This window comes from Homo sapiens, chromosome 1 (genome assembly GCF_000001405.40).
Source record: "Homo sapiens chromosome 1, GRCh38.p14 Primary Assembly".
Lineage (NCBI taxonomy): Eukaryota > Metazoa > Chordata > Mammalia > Primates > Hominidae > Homo > Homo sapiens.
Genome location: NC_000001.11, coordinates 93209004 through 93226714, shown reverse-complemented (window position 1 = coordinate 93226714; position 17711 = coordinate 93209004). Strand labels below are relative to the sequence as shown.

Sequence of the window (17711 nt, the reverse complement as noted above, 5' to 3'; positions counted from 1 at the left end):
TAAAAATACAAAAATTAGCCAGGCATGGTAGTGCATACCTGTAATCCTAGCTACACAGGAGGCTGAGGCACAAGAATTGCTTGAACCCAGGAGGCAGAGGTTCAAGTGAGCCAAGATTGCGACACTGTACTCCAGCCTGGGCAACATGGGGAGACGCTGTCTCAAAAGAAATATATATATATATATATATTTTGTCCTACATCTCATGCTTCTTAAAAAAAATCACTTGAAATATATGCTATATATAAAGTAAATGTTAATTTACCTCTTCAGATTTCTTCTTTAACTGTTTTTCAAACTTTTCCTTATTTCCTTCCAATTGATTCAAATGCAAGACAAGTTCTTCCTTACAAATTTCCAATGCTGAATCTAGTTGCCTAACCTAAGCAGGAAAAAAAGCAAAAAAAAAAAAAAAACACAAAACGATATACTCAATATTTTACAGATTTATCTCCTAATGTTACCTGACTGCTTCAAATAGTGAATATACAGTCCTACTTAGGATATAAAATGCCATTATAGAAGATATTTATTGAGTAAACTAATTCTTCATTGCAAATGAGGAAACCAAAGAGAAAACCAAGGTATGGAATCCTGAAGAATAAACAAGAGTTGGACAAGTTTAGAAGGGCATTCCAGGAAAAGGGAGTATGCTCAGAAGCAAGGCCCTGCGAAAGGGAGTGGTGAGAAGTTGGCAAAAGCCTAGGGTAGTAAGAAGATGAATTTGTAGGAAATGGTTATTTGGGAGCCACAATTGACAAGATAAACTAGGGCCAACTGTCAAGAACCTGTAGGCCAAACACTCTAAAAACTTTTCTTTAAAAGGTAAGTGGTATTTAAACCTACTTCTTAAGCCTCCTTGAATAAGAAAAATAGGAAAGTGAGTACAAACTAGCATACTGTTAATGATGCTTAAGTGAGATTTTTTTTTTTTTTTTGAGACAAAGTCTTGCTGTGTAGCCCAGGCTGTAGTGCAGTGGTGCGATCTCGGGTCACTGCAACCTCTACCTCCCAGGTTCAAGCAATTCTCCTGCCTCCGCCTCCTGAGTAGCTGGGATTACAGGTATGCACCACCATGTCTTGCTGATTTTTGTATTTTTAGTAGAGAGTGGGTTTTGCCATGTTGGCCAGACTGGTCTTAAACTCCTGACCTCAGGTGATCCACCCGCCTTGGCCTCCCAAAGTGCTGGGATTACAGGTGTGAGCCACCTTGCCTGGCCTTAAGTGAGAATATTTTGAAATGCTGAAGTTACTAAGAAAATAATTTGTCAGCTAGAAAAAAAGAAGTGAAACCTTCTTTGCTTTGAAACAGTGAAAATATTTTCAGAAAGGCAGCAATTTAACTTGGTCCAAGTGTTCATATAGTTGCCACTGCTTTACTACCTTAATACCAAAGAGCAACTCAAATTTGGTACTTTTCGTTCAAGGCGCACATATTGCATACATGCTCCACATCTCATCTATTAAGATTCTTGTCTTGCTCCTTGTTTTCTTTATTGTAAATTTGAGCTTCTCAATGGTGTTCTTCCTCTTAATGCTAATAATGTTCTAGTAAGCAGTCTTGAAAAAGTGAAAGAAATCTTAGATTTCTTAGCAGATGAAAAAACGAGAAAAACATTCTCTCTTGCAGATTCTATTCTACATCATGAAATTATCTTTGCCACTCTTATTTCTAAAAAGGGAATCTTATAAGATACACAGTTTTTGAACACCACCCTTATAGTCTGTATATGAAATCATTAACAGCTAAAAAATCTGTAATTCTGAATGACTAATTAACATTTGTTTTATGAAAATTATAAATACTTAGAAATTTTCTTTTTTATGAAAGAGAATGGGCATTGGGACTTGTATCATCCTTCACACAGAGAAAATAAATAAAACCTATGATTCTGTCAGAATATCACTACCTAATAGTTAACAGTGTAATAACTCATTTGGGCAAGATTCATCATTAGATATGAAAGCCATTGATTATAAGGTTATTGAGGAACAGGATATTCACATGGCCTCAAAGACTCACCCCAAAGTTAGTTTGCTAATTATCAATGAAAATGTATGCCCTTAAAATAATGAGATCTGGCAGTCATCAAATTAAATAAGGTATATAATCCTGAGAGTGTCTCCTTAAATTTTGTGTCATCACACTTGATTCACTGGGGTGAATCAGGTCTGGGGCATGGCTAGATACTCTTCAAAGCTTCCAGGTGATGCTGATGCTGCTAGTTCACAGACCATGCTTTGAGTAGCAAGGCTATAAAGGACAATTTTAAGTAATTGGGGAAATTTTAGTACGGACAATGTTGAATGATATTACTAACTTAATGTTGACTTTCTCTGTAGTGTAGTGGTGGTGTGGCCATACAGAAGAAATTCTCTGTTCACAGGAGATGCATGTTAAGTATTAAAGGGGTAAAGTATTATGACATCCGTACCTTCTCTCAGGCGGTTTGGCAAAAGGGAGGTGGGTTGGTAGGGACACACACAAGCATGCATGCATGTGTATGTGTAGAGAGAGATAAAGTGAGTGTACCTAGAGTTTAATAGAGTTTAACAGAGAGTGAATCTAGGTGAGGAGTAGACTATTTTTTCAATTTTTTGTGGGCTTGAAATTTTAAAAAATAAATTAGAAATAAATCAATTATAGCTAATAAAAAACTAATTAAAAACCCAAAACATCCGCTACTCTATTGAATTTCTTATTTGAACAGAGTTTGAAAGTCTGAATCTCATACAGATAAACATCTTGCATTGTATACAAACCACTTGCAAATGTGTGTGTGTGTGTGTGTGTGTGTGTGTGTGTGTGTGTGTATAAATAAATGAAATCAAAACAAAAACAAACACCACTCTGCTGAACCAAAGAAGCTCCTCAGGTGCACAATCTGGAGACAACCAGATAGGGCCCTAGGCTATGCATCTTCAAAAAAAGAAGGTAAACTCTTCTTTTATGTTTAAGACTTTTTTGTGGGGGTTTTGGGGAATCTAAAGTAGAAAATAAGAGGAAAACAAAACAAAAGAAATAAAATCTGTAAGTCTAATAAGCACCTTTTCAATTTTCCATTTAACAGCAGGTAACAACTGGTTTAATTTACTGATTTCTTGTTACCAGTTCAGAATTTTATCATCAACCTTTTAGCTTAGTGATACAACTTTAAACTGACCCTTATAACTTTCCTATAGATAAAAAAATTCATATTTCTTTTGCAGAGAACAAGTTGAGGCATGTTGAGAGACATGAACAAAAGTCATGAAAGGAAGGTAGTAATGACATAATCAGGAGAGAAGTAGACTTCAGGCTTCTATTTTGCTGCTATAAATAACTTATGTGTAGAATCAGTCAATATAGCTTAAATCATAGGAATTTGGCTTCTATATTTCTTACTCATTTTGATTTTTCCCCAAACAGCAAACCTGCTAAAGATGTTAAAGGAATAAAATCCAACATCATACTTCATTCTTTTGCTGATTTCTTTTCCATCTCATATCTGGCTATTAACACACGGAAATACCTCACCAGATGACTGCCCAGTTACGTTAGGTAGTTTAATGAAAACCAGGAGTTAAGTGGCTGCATGAGTTTTATCTAATAAAAGTATTTCATGCCTACAATCTCTGTACAGTAATCATTTTTTAATATTAATGAAATTTGGGGCTATTCTTACACAGGGAAATGAACTGACATTGCATTAAATGTTAAGAGTTTTGGTGAATACTACAGGAATATTTATGAATAAACACATGTCTACATGGGCATACACAGTCACAAAATGAATTAAAAACAGAATAGGGAAAAAATAACATCGTATCTTTAAAGCAAATCTTTTATATTCAAGCTACATATGACAGAATAAACGTCATAGCATATTTGGACCTACGTTTAACACTAAAAATGCAAGAGAAAATACTAAATATATAGCAGTTAGTTACAAAACTTCGGGCAACTCAGTATGTGCTAAGCACTTTATATACCCTGTTTCATTTAATTCTCACACTAATGCTCTTCTAGGGTATTGTCATTCCTATTTTGTGGATGAAGAAATTAAAGTTCAAAGAGTTAAATAACCTGGCTAAGGTTACAGTGAGTGGGTAAGCACTTGAAGCCACACTGAAACCCAATTTAACAACAAAGCCCATGTTTTTAACCATGAAGATATACTAGCCAGAAAGCCGTATTTTAGCTAGAAATTCTGGCTTTATCTCAATTAATCTTACAAGCCAACTGATAAAAACAAGCAAAATTGAATCACTTTTAGTTTTCTCTTCCTCCACTTCCTCTGGTAATTTTCTTTTTTTTTGGTAATGTTAATAAGTAGCAATTATAGCTAAAATTTAAAACAATTTTTAGGGTTATAAAAACTGTTTTAAGACAAAAAGAGGCTAGATAACCTGCAAACTAGATGATTAACTATCAAATAATTAAGATCATAATTCGCTCTAAAGAAAATACATTTAAAGGAACTAAGTTCATTGAGTCAGATCAAATCGTCAGCTCTGAATTGCCTTTTATCTGTACAATGTTTACAATTTACAGAGAAAAGTAAAAAAGCCACAAGAATGTCTCCAAATAGAAAAAAATAATTAGCCAGGCATGTTGAAGCACGCTTGTCCTAGCTGCTCAGGAGGCTCATGTGGGAGGATTACTTGAGCTCAGGAGTTCAAGGTTGCAGTGAGTTATCATCATGCCACTGCACTCCAGCCTAGGCAAATGAGAGAGATTCTGTCTGTTAAAAAAAAAAAAAAGGAAAGAAAGAAAAATAAAGTATTAGCATACTAGCCTTGATTGTTTCTTCAGATACTTGGTTCTGTAATGCTTTTAAAGCTTCATCTTTCTTCATATTTTCCTTTTTCATTTCCTAAAAACAGTAAGAAAAGTATAAGTATGCAGATTTGATTAGATTTAAAGGCAAGTTATAGAGACATAAAATATTAGTCAACTTCTAAATAGCACTTTTATAAGGATGATTTTACCCCTTTGCTTTCCGTCAAGAGTCTATCTAGTGATTCAAGATGATGTTGTTTGCATATTATATCTTGTTGCAACATGGACATAGTCTTTTCTTGTTCTTTAAATTGTTGGTCCTTTTTCTCTAGTTGAGCTTCAAGCTAAACATGAAAACAGAATTTTCATATTAAATATTTTAAAATTTTGAAACATTTTAAATATTAAATACATGTGACACTATAATTGAAATTACATAGATTTTTGTATTTTGCCAAATTGTCTTCAGCTTCTCTCTTTTTAAGGAAGAAATGAAATCACTTGCATGAACAGACACTTCTCAAAAGAAGACATATATGTGGACAACAAACATACAAAAAAAAAGCTCAACATTGCTGATCGCTCAAGAAATGCAAATCGAAACCACAATGAGATACCATCTCATGCCAGTCAGAATGGCAATTATTAAAAAGTCAAAAAACAGATGCTGGAGAGGTTGCAGAGAAAAGGAACACTTTTACATTGCTGATGGGAGTGTAAATTAGTTCAACCATTGTGGAAGGCAGTGTGGCATTTCCTCAAAGACCTAGAGGCAGAAACACAATTTGACCCAGCAATCCCATTACTGGGTATATACCCAAAGGAATGTAAGTCATTCTATTATAAAAATACATGCATGTGTATGTTCATTGCAGCACTATTCACAATAGAAAAGACATGGAATCAACCTAAATGCCCATCAGTGATAGACTGGATAAAGAAAATGTGGTACATACATACTATGGAATACTATGCAGCCATAAAAAGGAACGAGATCGTTTCCTTTACAGGGACACGGATGGAGTTGGAAGCCATTATCCTCAGCAAACTAACACAGGAACAGAAAACCAAATACTGCACGTACTCACTTATAAGTGGGAGCTGAATGATGAGAACACACGAAGACATGGGGAGGAACAACACATACTGAGGCCTATAGGGGAGTGGGATGGGAGAGAGGGAGCATCAGGAAGAATAGCTAATGGATGCTGGGCTCAATACCTAAGTGATGGGATGATCTGTGCAGCAAACCACCATGGCACACATTTACCTATGTGACAAATCTGCACCTCCTGTACGTGTACCCCTGAACTTAACGGCTGAAGAAAAAAAGGCAAAATGTAGAAACTAAGAATATAGACCCCTTTACCCCTCCCCCTTTACACTGTCGTTGTCACATGTATTATATCAATATACCTCATCAGTAAATGTTATAATTTCTTCTTTCAACTGCCATAGATATTATAAAAATCCTATATTTACCAAATATTTACTGTTTTTGTTGTTCTTCCTTTATTCCTGAGGTCCCAAGTTTCTCTCAGGTATTTTTTTTCCATGAGGAACTTTCTTTAGCATTCTCTTTTAGAACAAGTCTGCTGGTGACAAATTCTCTATGCGGTCCTTCATCTAAGAATGTCTTTATTTTACCTTCATTCCTAGAGAGTATTTTTGTTGGATATAAAATAGAATGACAGTTTTTTTCTCTTTCAGCATTTAAAAAATGTTGTTCCATCTTCTTATGTCCATAGTTTTTGATGAGAAATCTGCAGTAATTTTAACATTTGTTCCCTTATATGCAGTGTCATTTATCTCTGGGTGCTTTCAAAGTTTTTTGTTTTAGTTTTTGGCAAGGATTTTGATGTGTCTAGAAGTAGTTCTCTTTGATTTTTTTAAATTTGTAAATTTATTTCCTTCATCAAATTTGTGAAGTTTTCAGACATTATTCCTTCAAATATTTTCCTGCACTAATCTCATTCTCTCCTTTGACTCTGAAGACAAGAATATCAGATCTTCCAGGTCCTTCCCCATATATCTCTGAGGCTTTGTTCAATATTTTTATAAATCTTTCTTTTCTTGGAAAAAAAATTTTTTCTCTGTTGCTCAGACTGAATAATATCTATTAATCTACATTCAAGTTCACTGTCTTTTTCCTCTTGTCTGCTCCATTCTTCTGTTAAGCTCATCTAAATTACAGCAGCCCTGTGGTATTCGTGGTTTCACTTTCCACAGTTCAGTTACCTGCAGTCAACCCTGGTCTGAAAATACTAAATGGAAAATTCCACGAATAAACAATTCATACGTTTTGAATTGCAGTTCTGAGCAGCGTGATGAAATCTCATGACGTCCCACTATGTCCAGCTCTGGACAAGAATGATCCATTTTCCATGCTGTATAAGCTACCTGCTCGTTAGTCACTTAGTAGCCATCTTGGTTATCAGATCAACTGCCATGGTATCACAGTGCTTGTGTTCAAGGAACTCTTATTTTACTTAATAATGGCCCCAAAGCAAAAGAGTAGTGATGCTATCTGGATGCAGATCCAATTTGGATATGTCAAAGAGAAGACATAGCATGCTTCCTTTAAGTGAAAAGGTGAAGGTTCTTGACTTAATGAGGAAAGAAAAAAAACTGCATGCTGAGGTTGCTAAGATCTACAATAAAGAATAAATCTATCCATGAAATTGTGAAGAAAAATAAATTCATGCAAGTATGGCAGTTGTACCTCAAACTACAAAAGTTACAACCACAATGCGTAAGTGCTTAGTTAAAATAGAAAAGGCATTAAATTTGTAGGTGGAAGGCATTAACAGAAAACATGTTCCAACTGACTGCAATGTGTTGCACCAGAAAATATTGAGTATATATTAAGACTTCAGCAAAGATCCCCTGAAACAAGTGACACCAAGTCATTTACTGCAAATAAGGGATGATTACACAGATTCAATAATAGGGTTAGACTGAAAAATATTAAAATTATTGGAGAAGCTGTGTCTGCTGATGAAGCAGCTGCTGTCACATTTCCAGCAGAGATGAAGAAGCTAAGGAGAAAAGATACCATCCAAAGCAAGACTTCAATTGCAGCGAAACTAGGCTGTTCTCAAAGATGACTCACAGAACCTACATTCATAAAAGTGCAAAGGAGGCTGGGCGCAGTGGCTCACACCTCTGCGTGAGCCAGGCACATTGGGAGGCTGAGCCAGGCAGATCACGAGGTCAGGAGTTTGACATCAGCCTGACCAACATGGTGAAACCCCATCTCTACTAAAAATACAAAAATTAGCCAGGCTTGGTGGCGCGCACCTGTAATCCCAGCTACTCAGGAGGCTGAGGCAGGAGAATCACTTGAACCCAGAAGGCGGAGACTGCAGTGAGCTGAGATCACACCATTGCACTCCAGCCTGGCCGACAGAGCGAGACTCTATCTCAAAAAAAAAAAGTGCAAAGGAGGCACTAGGGCATAAGAGAGAGAACACACTTTTATGAGAACAAGTTTTCACATAACTTTTATGACAGTATTTTGTTACAATTGGTCGATTTTATTAGAATTCTTGCTAATCTCTTACTGTGTCTAATTTATAAATTAAGCTTTATAATAGGTATGTATGTATAGGAAAAAATATATAAGGTTCAGTACTATCTGTGGTTTCAGGCATTCACTGAAGGTCTTGGAATGTCTCTCCCATGGATAAGCAGGGACTACTGTATCTATTTTTTTTTACTGTGTCTTGCATTTTTGGTCTCAAATTTTCTTTTCTACTTTTAACCCAAGGTCAAGAGTGCTTCTCTTATTCTGCTTTTTCCTCTCAATCAATCTTCAAGCAACTGATATTTTTAGGGAAATGGAGTCTACAGAATTACTCTTACTTTAATAATGTCAAAAATAATGATTACAGCTGAAACAGAAGGCATACTATATTCTGTTAAAGCACTGAAAAATTATTCAGAAAGATTGGGATTCTAATTACAGCTCTTGCCACTAACTTTTGTGTATCTTTGTGTCCTCGTCTACAAAATAAAAAATGCTGGGGCTAGTAATGTTTAAGTTTCTTTTCAGCACTCATATTCTAAATATGTATTACTTACTCTTTCAATCTGCTTTTCCATTTCTTTATGCTGTTCCAAGTGAATTTTCTTTGCTTTTTCAAAGGCTAAACAAATTTTCTCATGCTCTGTATTAATATTGGTTTCTAGACTCCTTATCTTTTCATTCTTTTCCTAGAAACACAAAACACTTTAAAGGAGTATAATTGATTTGGGAGGCCAAGGCAGGCAGATCGCTTGAATCCAGGAGTTCAAGACTAGCCTGGGAAACACGGCAAGACCCCGTCTCTATGAAAAATACAAAAAATTAGCTAAGTAGATGTGGTGGCATGCGCCTGTGGTCATAGCTTCTGGGGACGCTCAGGGGGAAGCCTGGGAGGACACGGCTGTAGTGAGCCATGATTGTGCCACTGCACTGCAGCCTGAACCACAGAGTGAGACTTTGTCTCAAAAAAAAAGTATAATTGAAAAGCAGTTTTACATAAAAGTACATTAGTCAACCATTAAATATGTCATACTCCATTCTTTAAAGAACCACAGTAGTTTATACTTCAAACTTTAACAAAATGGCTAAAAATACTTTATCAAGACGAGAAGATTTAAACTATTTTAAATATCAAGAAGCATATCAAAGAACTACCATTATCTTCAATCCTATTAGGATAAAAATGAGAAAACGGCCGGGTGCGGTGGCTCACGCCTGTAATCCCAACACTTTGGAAGGCTGAGGCGGGTGGATCACGAGGTCAGGAGATGAGACCATCCTGGCTAACACGGTGAAACCTGTCTCTACTGAAAATACAAAAAAAATTAGCCAGGCGTGGTGGCGGGCGCCTGTAGTCCCAGCTACTCGGGAGGCTGAGGCAGGAGAATGGCGTGAACCCAGGAGGCAGAGCTTGCAGTGAGCCGAGATCACACCACTGCACTCCAGCCTGGGCGACGGAGTGAGACTCTGTCTCAAAAAAAAAAAAAAAAAGAGAAAACTTGGATAACTTGCCATATAAGCCTATTAACTTAAAAATATAAACAAGAAATGATCAGAAGAGTTTAGTAGAATTTATACTTTCCTATATATTTTATAATAATGATGCTAAAACAAATGTGCTGTCACAAATTAAGTGCCTAAAAATCACAGTAAATTTGTAGGAACAAAGATAAGTTTTACCATAAGCTCCTGTTCTAGTTCTGCATTTTTTGCAGCAATAGAGGAATAAGCAACTATCTTTTCTTCCAGCTGTTTCTCAAGAGTTAAAAGTTGAGAACATTTCTTTGTCATCTGAAAACACATTGAAATAAATGTAAAATTATTTTTTAAAGGTAATGATTTTGCATTCTAAGATCAAACACCTGCTCCTCTTTCAAAGTTCAAATACATTGTGTCTAGGTAAATTGGGCAAACTTACAGTTATAAACATTTAGGATGCAAAGTGAATAACTTTTTAACCCACATAATTATAAGTATTTTACAAAATAAGTGACAATTAAGAAGAAAAACAAATACTGAAAACAAAGGATCACTTCTTCTATCTATGTAAAACATAAGTCATTTAATTCAGACCCCTATATCCAAAAAGGACAATACCCTAATCTATTTTTACGTAGCTGTTAAAGACTGAAATAAGTACAATAAAATGTTATCAGCAGTTATTTCTGGTGGTAGAATTATCAATGGTTCATTTTCTTCTTTTTCCCCTTTTATATTAACAAGACTGTGCTATTTTTGTAATTTAAAAAACTTATTAATCCCAGTATTTGGCAATTTCCTAAGTAAACTGGTAGCCATAGTTATAAACTGTCTAAATCTCCATCTTCATTATTAACATAAGTTCCTATCTTATAGTTCTTTTTCCTCAGCCTTGGCTATAGACTTTAAGCTGAGAAAGCAGGTATTTAAAAAGTGTACCTATAGATGACTGCAGCCTCTGGTTTGAAGATCGAGTATAAGATATACACATGTGGTCCTGGTCCACAATTACCTAATGAGGCACCCTTATCCTGTCCTCAGTGAAAATGAAGACAAGATATTCACAAAACACTCATTATCCCCTTTTCAGAATGTAATTCCTTGCGTAGTTGTTTCAGGTTTACATGCAGTTGTTTAAAAATACAGACTCTTTAAACAGCAGAAATACACAAAAAATAAAAATACAGATTCCGGCTAGGTGTGGTGGCTCACACCAGTAATCCCAGCATTTTGGGATACTGAGGTGGGGATCACCTGAAACCAGGAGTTCGAGGCAAGCCTGGGCAACACAGCGACTGTCTCTACAAATAAAAAATAAAAAAACTTAGCTGGACATAGTGACACATGCCTGCAGTCTCAAATACTTGGAAGACTGAGGCAGGAGAATGGCTTGAGCCTAGAAGTTCAAAGCTACAGTGAGCTATGATCACACCACCACACTCCAGACTGGGCAACAGAGCAAGACCCTGTCTCTAAGAAAAAAAAAAAAAAAGAAAAAGAAAAGAAAAAAGCAGACTCTTGTGCCCATATATACTGAATCAGAAATTGCTGGAACAGGACCCAGAAATATGCATATTAAACAGGCTTCCTAGGTGGTTTGGGGTTTGCTAAAATTTGAAATCCTTTATTATCACTCCTTTTCTTCCAACAGCATAATCCAAAGTCTTTATTTATAAATGTATATTAACCATATTAACTTATACTATGGAAGAAATAATAGGCTGCAATGCAATATTATTTCCACCAAATTTGAGACTTTTACCCACTACAGTTTTTCCTACTTTTAATAACTTTAACTTTTAATAAGTTAAAATACAAAGGTTTCCAAATATAATTTTAAAACAATTTATAACTTATGTGGTACCATTTTTTAAAAACTTTAAATCTGGATGTAAACATATAATTTTTATAAAACCCTAAAATAATACCTTTTGTTCTAGTTCAAAAATTAACATATATACCAAGCTAATTCCAAGCTTACTTCACTTTCCAGTTTGCTGGAGTTTGAAGCTTTCTCTAGCAGCTCCTCTTGAATCAGCTGAAACTGACTAGTTCTGTGAGCCATGTTAACCTTCAAATCAGAATTTTCAGCTTCTATTTGTATCAGCTTAGTACGTAGTTCTTCTATTCCAGTAACAAGTCTTTGCCTCTCTTTTTCATATTGCTTGTTCATAGTATGTTGATTTTGATCTTTTACGCTTTCTGCTAATAAACATAAAAGGAAAATTGTTCTGAATAGGACTTCAAGAATAAAAACCTACTTAAATAGTTGAAAGATTTAGTCATAAACAAAGTTTAGTTTCTGATCTAAAGAGTACTAAAAGGGACAGAGAATGAGACATTCATTAAGGAAATCAAAGAATAAGTAATGTGCTCTCTAAATTAAATACGTAACAAAGAGGAGAAAAGTTCTGAATCACTCATTTTTCTAGGTAGCTAAGACTATTCCTTTGTACCAGAAATGTAAGAATCCTTCTCCACCTTTTAAATTCCATTTTTTAATAGAAATCATTGTAAAAATTTTTTTTAAGTTGCCCTGTTTCCTTAAACTGAAGGTAATCATAAAATTTATTTGGACAGTTTGAGATCATTAAGAACATTTTTATGTACTGCACACAGAAGCAGGTTCAAAAGCTCCAAAGAGTGAATCCTTCCCGACCCCATCGTCTTTCTCTCCAAACTAGCTAATGAGAATTCAGTGATGCTTTAAAAAAAATTACTGAGGGTAGCCAGGCACAGTGGCACCTGTTATCTGAGCTATTCAACAGGCTGAGGTGTGAGGATCACTTGAGCCCAATTCAAGACCATCCTGGGCAACATGGCAAGATCCTGTCTCAAAAAAATTACTGAGGGTTATCAGAGGTAGTTACTTGACCATGCCCCTTCTCCACTATAAACATACACATCTCCCACTCCAAGGTAAGTAAGCCTTCAGAAGTGCTTTTAAAAAGCATAATGTAGATGATTACATGAGAACACACAGATGTGGAAACAAGATACACTTTGCCTTCAAGATTTGCATCAGTAGCCATTTCTCATAAATTCTCTACATCTATAATATTTCACTTTCTAGGCTATTTACTTTTTATTGGCTCTGTTCTTGATGTAAAAGAATCTATAACATATTATATTTATTACCACCTCTAATTACTAGTATTCTCAACTTGGAACATTCACCAAGATAGATCATACGCTGGACAATAAACCAAATCTCAAAACATTCTTAAAAATGAAGTCCTATACAGTATGTTCTCTGATCATCATGAATGACACAAAAATATCTGGAAAAACCTCCAAATATTTGGAAATAAAACACACACAGCCTATGAGTCAAAGAGGAAATCACAAGAGATAACTATTTTGAACTGAATGAAAATGAAAATACAACACATTAAAAAAAGTAGTGGAATACACCCAAAGCACCGCTTAAAGGGAAGTTTCTATCCTTAAATACTTAGATGAGAAAAGAAAAGAGGTCTAAAATCAATAATCTAAACTTTAAGAAAAGTTTTGTGGTTTTTTTGGAAAAAAAAAAAAAGAGAGAAAATTAAGCCTAAAAGTTAACTGGGAAAAAGTACAAAGGATCCTGGTGGAGATGTCTTATGTCTTGACTGTGGTGATGGTAACAAGAGTTAAACATTAAAACACAAACACCTGACAAAACGTATCAAACTGTATATTAAAATGGGTGCATCTTAACTGCAGGGGTCCCCAACCCCTGGGCCACGGACTGGTACCAGTCCATGGCCCATTAGGAACTGGGCCACATAGTAGGAGGTGAGTGGCAGGCGAATGAGCAAAGCTTCATCTGTAGTTACACCCACTCCCAATCGCTCGCATTACTGCTGGAGCTCTACCTCCTGTCAGATTAGCGGCAGCATTAGATTCCCACAGGAACACAAACCCTATTATGAACTGCACATGCGCAGGATCTAGACTGCTCACTCCTTATGAGAATCTAATGCCTGATGATCTGTCACTGTCTGCCATGACCCCCAGATGGAACCTTCTAGTTGCAGGAAAACAAGGTCAGGGCTACCACTGATTCTACATTACGATGAGTTGTATAATTATTTCAACATCAATATGATAATAATATAAATAAATTGCACAATAAATGTCATGCGTTTGAATCATCCTGAAACCAACCCTGACCCTGTCCCTGGTCCATGGAAAAAATGTCTTCCACAAAACCAGTCCCTGGTGCCAAAAAGGTTGGGGACCACTGTTCTATTGGATATCAATTTTACTTCATTAACGAATGATACAAAGTCTAATAATTCTGAAATAACTTTTGCTGTCTTATCAGACCACAACTAGTAACAGATTATCAAGTATGTTTGATAATAGAAACCAAACAGTTGATAAATTTGTTCTTTAAAAACTATCATCTGAGAACACATGGAAACATAGAGGGGAACAACACATACTGGGGTCTATCAGAGGGTGGAGGGTGGAAGGAGGGAGTAGATCAGGAAAAATAATTAAGGGGTACTAGGCTTAATACCTGGGTGATGAAATAATCTGTAAAACAAACCTCCATGACACAAGCTTACCTATGTAACAAATCTGCACATGTATCCCTGAACTTAAATTAAAAAAAAAATTTAAATAAAAGTTTTTTTAAAAAAAAACTATCATCCAAAACTCTGAATATAATTTATTAAAATAACTCAATATACTTACCTACTTGATGACCACCTAGCTTTACAGGTTCTGTTTCTAAACTACTTAATTTGCTACTTTCTTGGCTGTCATTACAAGTAATAAGACTCTGAGATAACTGATTTGCAGTCAGGTTTGCATGAAGCTTTTGAATTTCTGCCTCTTTTATTGCAAGCTTAATTCTGGCACAAAAGAAAAGAAGGGAAAAATTATTAGAAAGATTCTATAAAAAAACTCATACTGTACTATTTTTCACCTTTCAAGTTGATTTAAAAAATTAGAATTCTAATATTAGTCAACTCTTTAGGCAGGATATGAAAACTCCCATATACCACTGTAGAATTATAAATTGGTTCAGCCACTTTACAAACTTGATGGTATTTAGTAAAATTGAAAATGTACACACTGTATGACCCAGCAATTTCACTGTTAGGAATATATACTACAGAAACTCTCATATATATGTATAAGAAAACATGTACAAGGATGTCCTTTGCAGCACTGTTTGTAACAGAAAACAGAAACAAGATACCTATAAAGGAACAAATAAATTATGACACTGTTATAGGACAGAATCCTATACAGCTATTAAAAGTAATTACACAAATCCATTTGTTAATCTACTCTATCTCAATATGAATGAATTTTTTAAATACTGCTGAGTGAAAAAGCAAAATTGCACACAGTATACGGTACATATTTGTGTACATGTGTGTAAACATACAAAAATGAATAGAGAAATATATATCCAATTCATGATGGTGGATACTTAGGGGAAAAATGGGACTAGTCATAAGGATCAAAGGGCATTATTCATCCTGTAATGTTTTATTTTTTATTTGGAGAAACAGATTTAAAACAAATACCACAAATTTTAAGGAGAATCAATCCTGGTTAAGAAGATTCAATTCTTAGTTGTGGAATCACAGATACCTGTTATAATATTCTCTGAGCTTTTCTGTATATTTTTTAAATTCCTCAATTAAGGGTCTTTTTTTTTTTTTTTTAATGGAGTCTCACTCTGTTGCTCAGGCTGGAGTGCAGTGGCACTATCTCAGCTCACTGCAACCACCGCCTCCCGGGTTCAAGTGATTCTCCTGCCTCAGCCTCCCAAGTAGTGGGGATTACAGGCGCGTGCCACCACCATGCCTGGCTAATTTTTGTATTTTTAGTAGAGACGAGGTTTCACCATGTTGGTCAGGCTGGTCTCGAACTCCTGACCTCGTGATCCGCCTGCCTCAGCCTCCCAAAGTGTTGGGATTACAGGCATGAGCCACCATGCCCGGCCAATTAAGGGTCTTAATTACCAATAAAAAACATTCTATTTGCTATAACTGCAGAATCTGAAAATTGTACCTCAATTCCGAAATCACCAATTTATTTGCCTCACAGCAGCCAATGCAACGGTCTTCCTTGTTTGAGAAGCTACTCATCTGGTATTTAGAAAGATATGATTTAAAGCCAAATAATTCTCTTTTTAACTGCAAGTTTAAAAACAAACATATGTAAACTTATGTAAATGAGATGCATTTGCTTTTTTATTCAGAACTTCAAATTTTAAAAACTGTATGAATTTAATGGAAACAACTTAATGTCCATCAATAGGAGAATATATAAATACATTAAGAAATATTAAGATAATTGGAAAACTACAATAGTTAAAAGAAATAAACCTGAGTCACATAAATCAGTATGGATACATCTCATAACAATATTGAGTGAAAAACAAATTATAGTGGCAAACAGTATTTTCATAAAAACACTAAGCAACATATATATATTTCTAGATGCATCGATATGTGACAATATTTAAAACATGGACGAGAAGGATACACATGAATTTCAGAATAATTGCCATTTCTGAGGAGAGAGGAAGATAATTGGGATCTGACAAGGTACACAAAGAAGATTTACCTGTAAAATTTTATTCTAAAAAAACATAGAGTTGATAAGACAATATGTGTCCCAAATTTTACAAATAAGGTGCTACACTAGCATATGCACCTTTCTGTATGTTTGGATAATACAGAATTTTAAAAGACAGTTATAAAAAGGAGCAAGGTTAGCATTTAATGACTTCTACCTTCAAACTATAACCGAATCACACCTCCTAGAAGTAGAAAAAAATCACATTTTCTAATCGTGTCATTCTTAGCACTACAAGAAACAAACGATCAAGCATACATTACCACATTCGGAATCATATCTCAAATGATTCTTTTTTGAGAGACAGGGTCTCACTCTGTCACCCAGACTGGAGCTTATGATCATAGAGCTCACTGCAGCCTCGAACTCTTGGACTCAAGCAATCCTCCTACCTCAGCTTCTCGAGTAGCTAGGACCACAGGCATGCGCCACCATGCCCAGCTAATTTTTGCATTTTTGTAGAGACAGGGTCTCACTGTATTACCCAAGCTGGTCTTGAACTCTTGCTTCAAGAGTTCCTCTCACCTTGGCCTGCCAAAATGCTGGGATTACAAGCAGGAGCCACTGTGCCTGACCATATATGAAATAATTCTTGATACACAAATGAGAATGCCAAATTAAAATTGTTATCTGTATATGATTACTTTCTAATTTCAAAAGCAAACAGTACATTAAAAATCCAAGCAAATAAACAGCATCCTGGGAAAGCAGATATCAGAGGAGCTAAGATCTTATGTTCTAGTTTAAATTCTACTACTTACCAGTTGGGCAAGTTATTTACTTTCTTGGGTCTAGGTTTCTTCACCAATAAAATAGTATTGAATCAGATGATTTCTGAGATTTTTTTGGTTCATAATTCCACAGTTCATAACAGTTTAACATTGGTAAGTCTACCATCTAGTCTACCATACATTCATATCTGAAACCAACCATAATATATTTACCTATAGTTTCCCCTGATCTTTCCTTCATTTTACACCTATTGATTACAAATTCCTGAATAGGTTTACTTACCTTCTTCTTAATCTCATTTATATATATGGTCACAAATATTACTAAAAGAGAAAAGGTGGTAGACCATTATTATAAAAACATTTTAGGCCAGGCGTGGTGGCTCATGCCTGTAATCCCAGCATTTCGGGAGGCTAAGGCAGGCAGATCACCTGAGGTTGGGAGTTCGAGACCAGCCTGACCAACATGGAGAAACCCTGTCTCTACTAAAAATACAAAATTAGCTGGGCATGGTGGCACATGCCTGTAATCCCAGCTACTCAGGAGGCTGAGGCAGGAGAATCGCTTGAACCCAGGAGGCTGAGGTTGCAGTGCGCCAAGATCTCGCCATTGCACTCCAGC

At 35.6% G+C, this 17711-nt stretch overlaps 1 protein-coding gene and 1 long non-coding RNA gene across 42 annotated transcripts in view; one reads left to right on the top strand and one right to left on the bottom strand.

Annotated features, from left to right (window-relative positions):
- Window positions 1-17711, bottom strand: part of CCDC18 (coiled-coil domain containing 18) — a 98818-nt gene that overhangs the window by 52016 nt on the left and 29091 nt on the right. For 17 of the 41 annotated variants that reach the window (XM_017001164.3, XM_017001162.3, XM_011541361.4 and 14 more), the window contains 8 exons: window positions 15789-15913; window positions 14454-14614; window positions 11749-11972; window positions 9969-10079; window positions 8846-8977; window positions 4972-5106; window positions 4779-4856; window positions 266-382 (listed from right to left, as the gene is read on the bottom strand). In XM_017001164.3, coding sequence (XP_016856653.1) covers window positions 266-382; window positions 4779-4856; window positions 4972-5106; window positions 8846-8977; window positions 9969-10079; window positions 11749-11972; window positions 14454-14614; window positions 15789-15913 — 1083 coding nt within the window. Of the gene's footprint in view, window positions 1-265; window positions 383-4778; window positions 4857-4971; window positions 5107-8062; window positions 8213-8845; window positions 8978-9968; window positions 10080-11748; window positions 11973-14453; window positions 14615-15788; window positions 15914-17711 lie in introns of those variants that run through there. The other 24 variants (NM_001306076.1, XM_047419507.1, XM_017001155.3 and 21 more) reach the window with 8 other exon arrangements.
- Window positions 1024-6248, top strand: LOC107985521 (uncharacterized). Its single transcript, XR_001737683.2, has 2 exons — window positions 1024-1063; window positions 2344-6248. It is a non-coding gene; the product is annotated as an uncharacterized LOC107985521 (long non-coding RNA).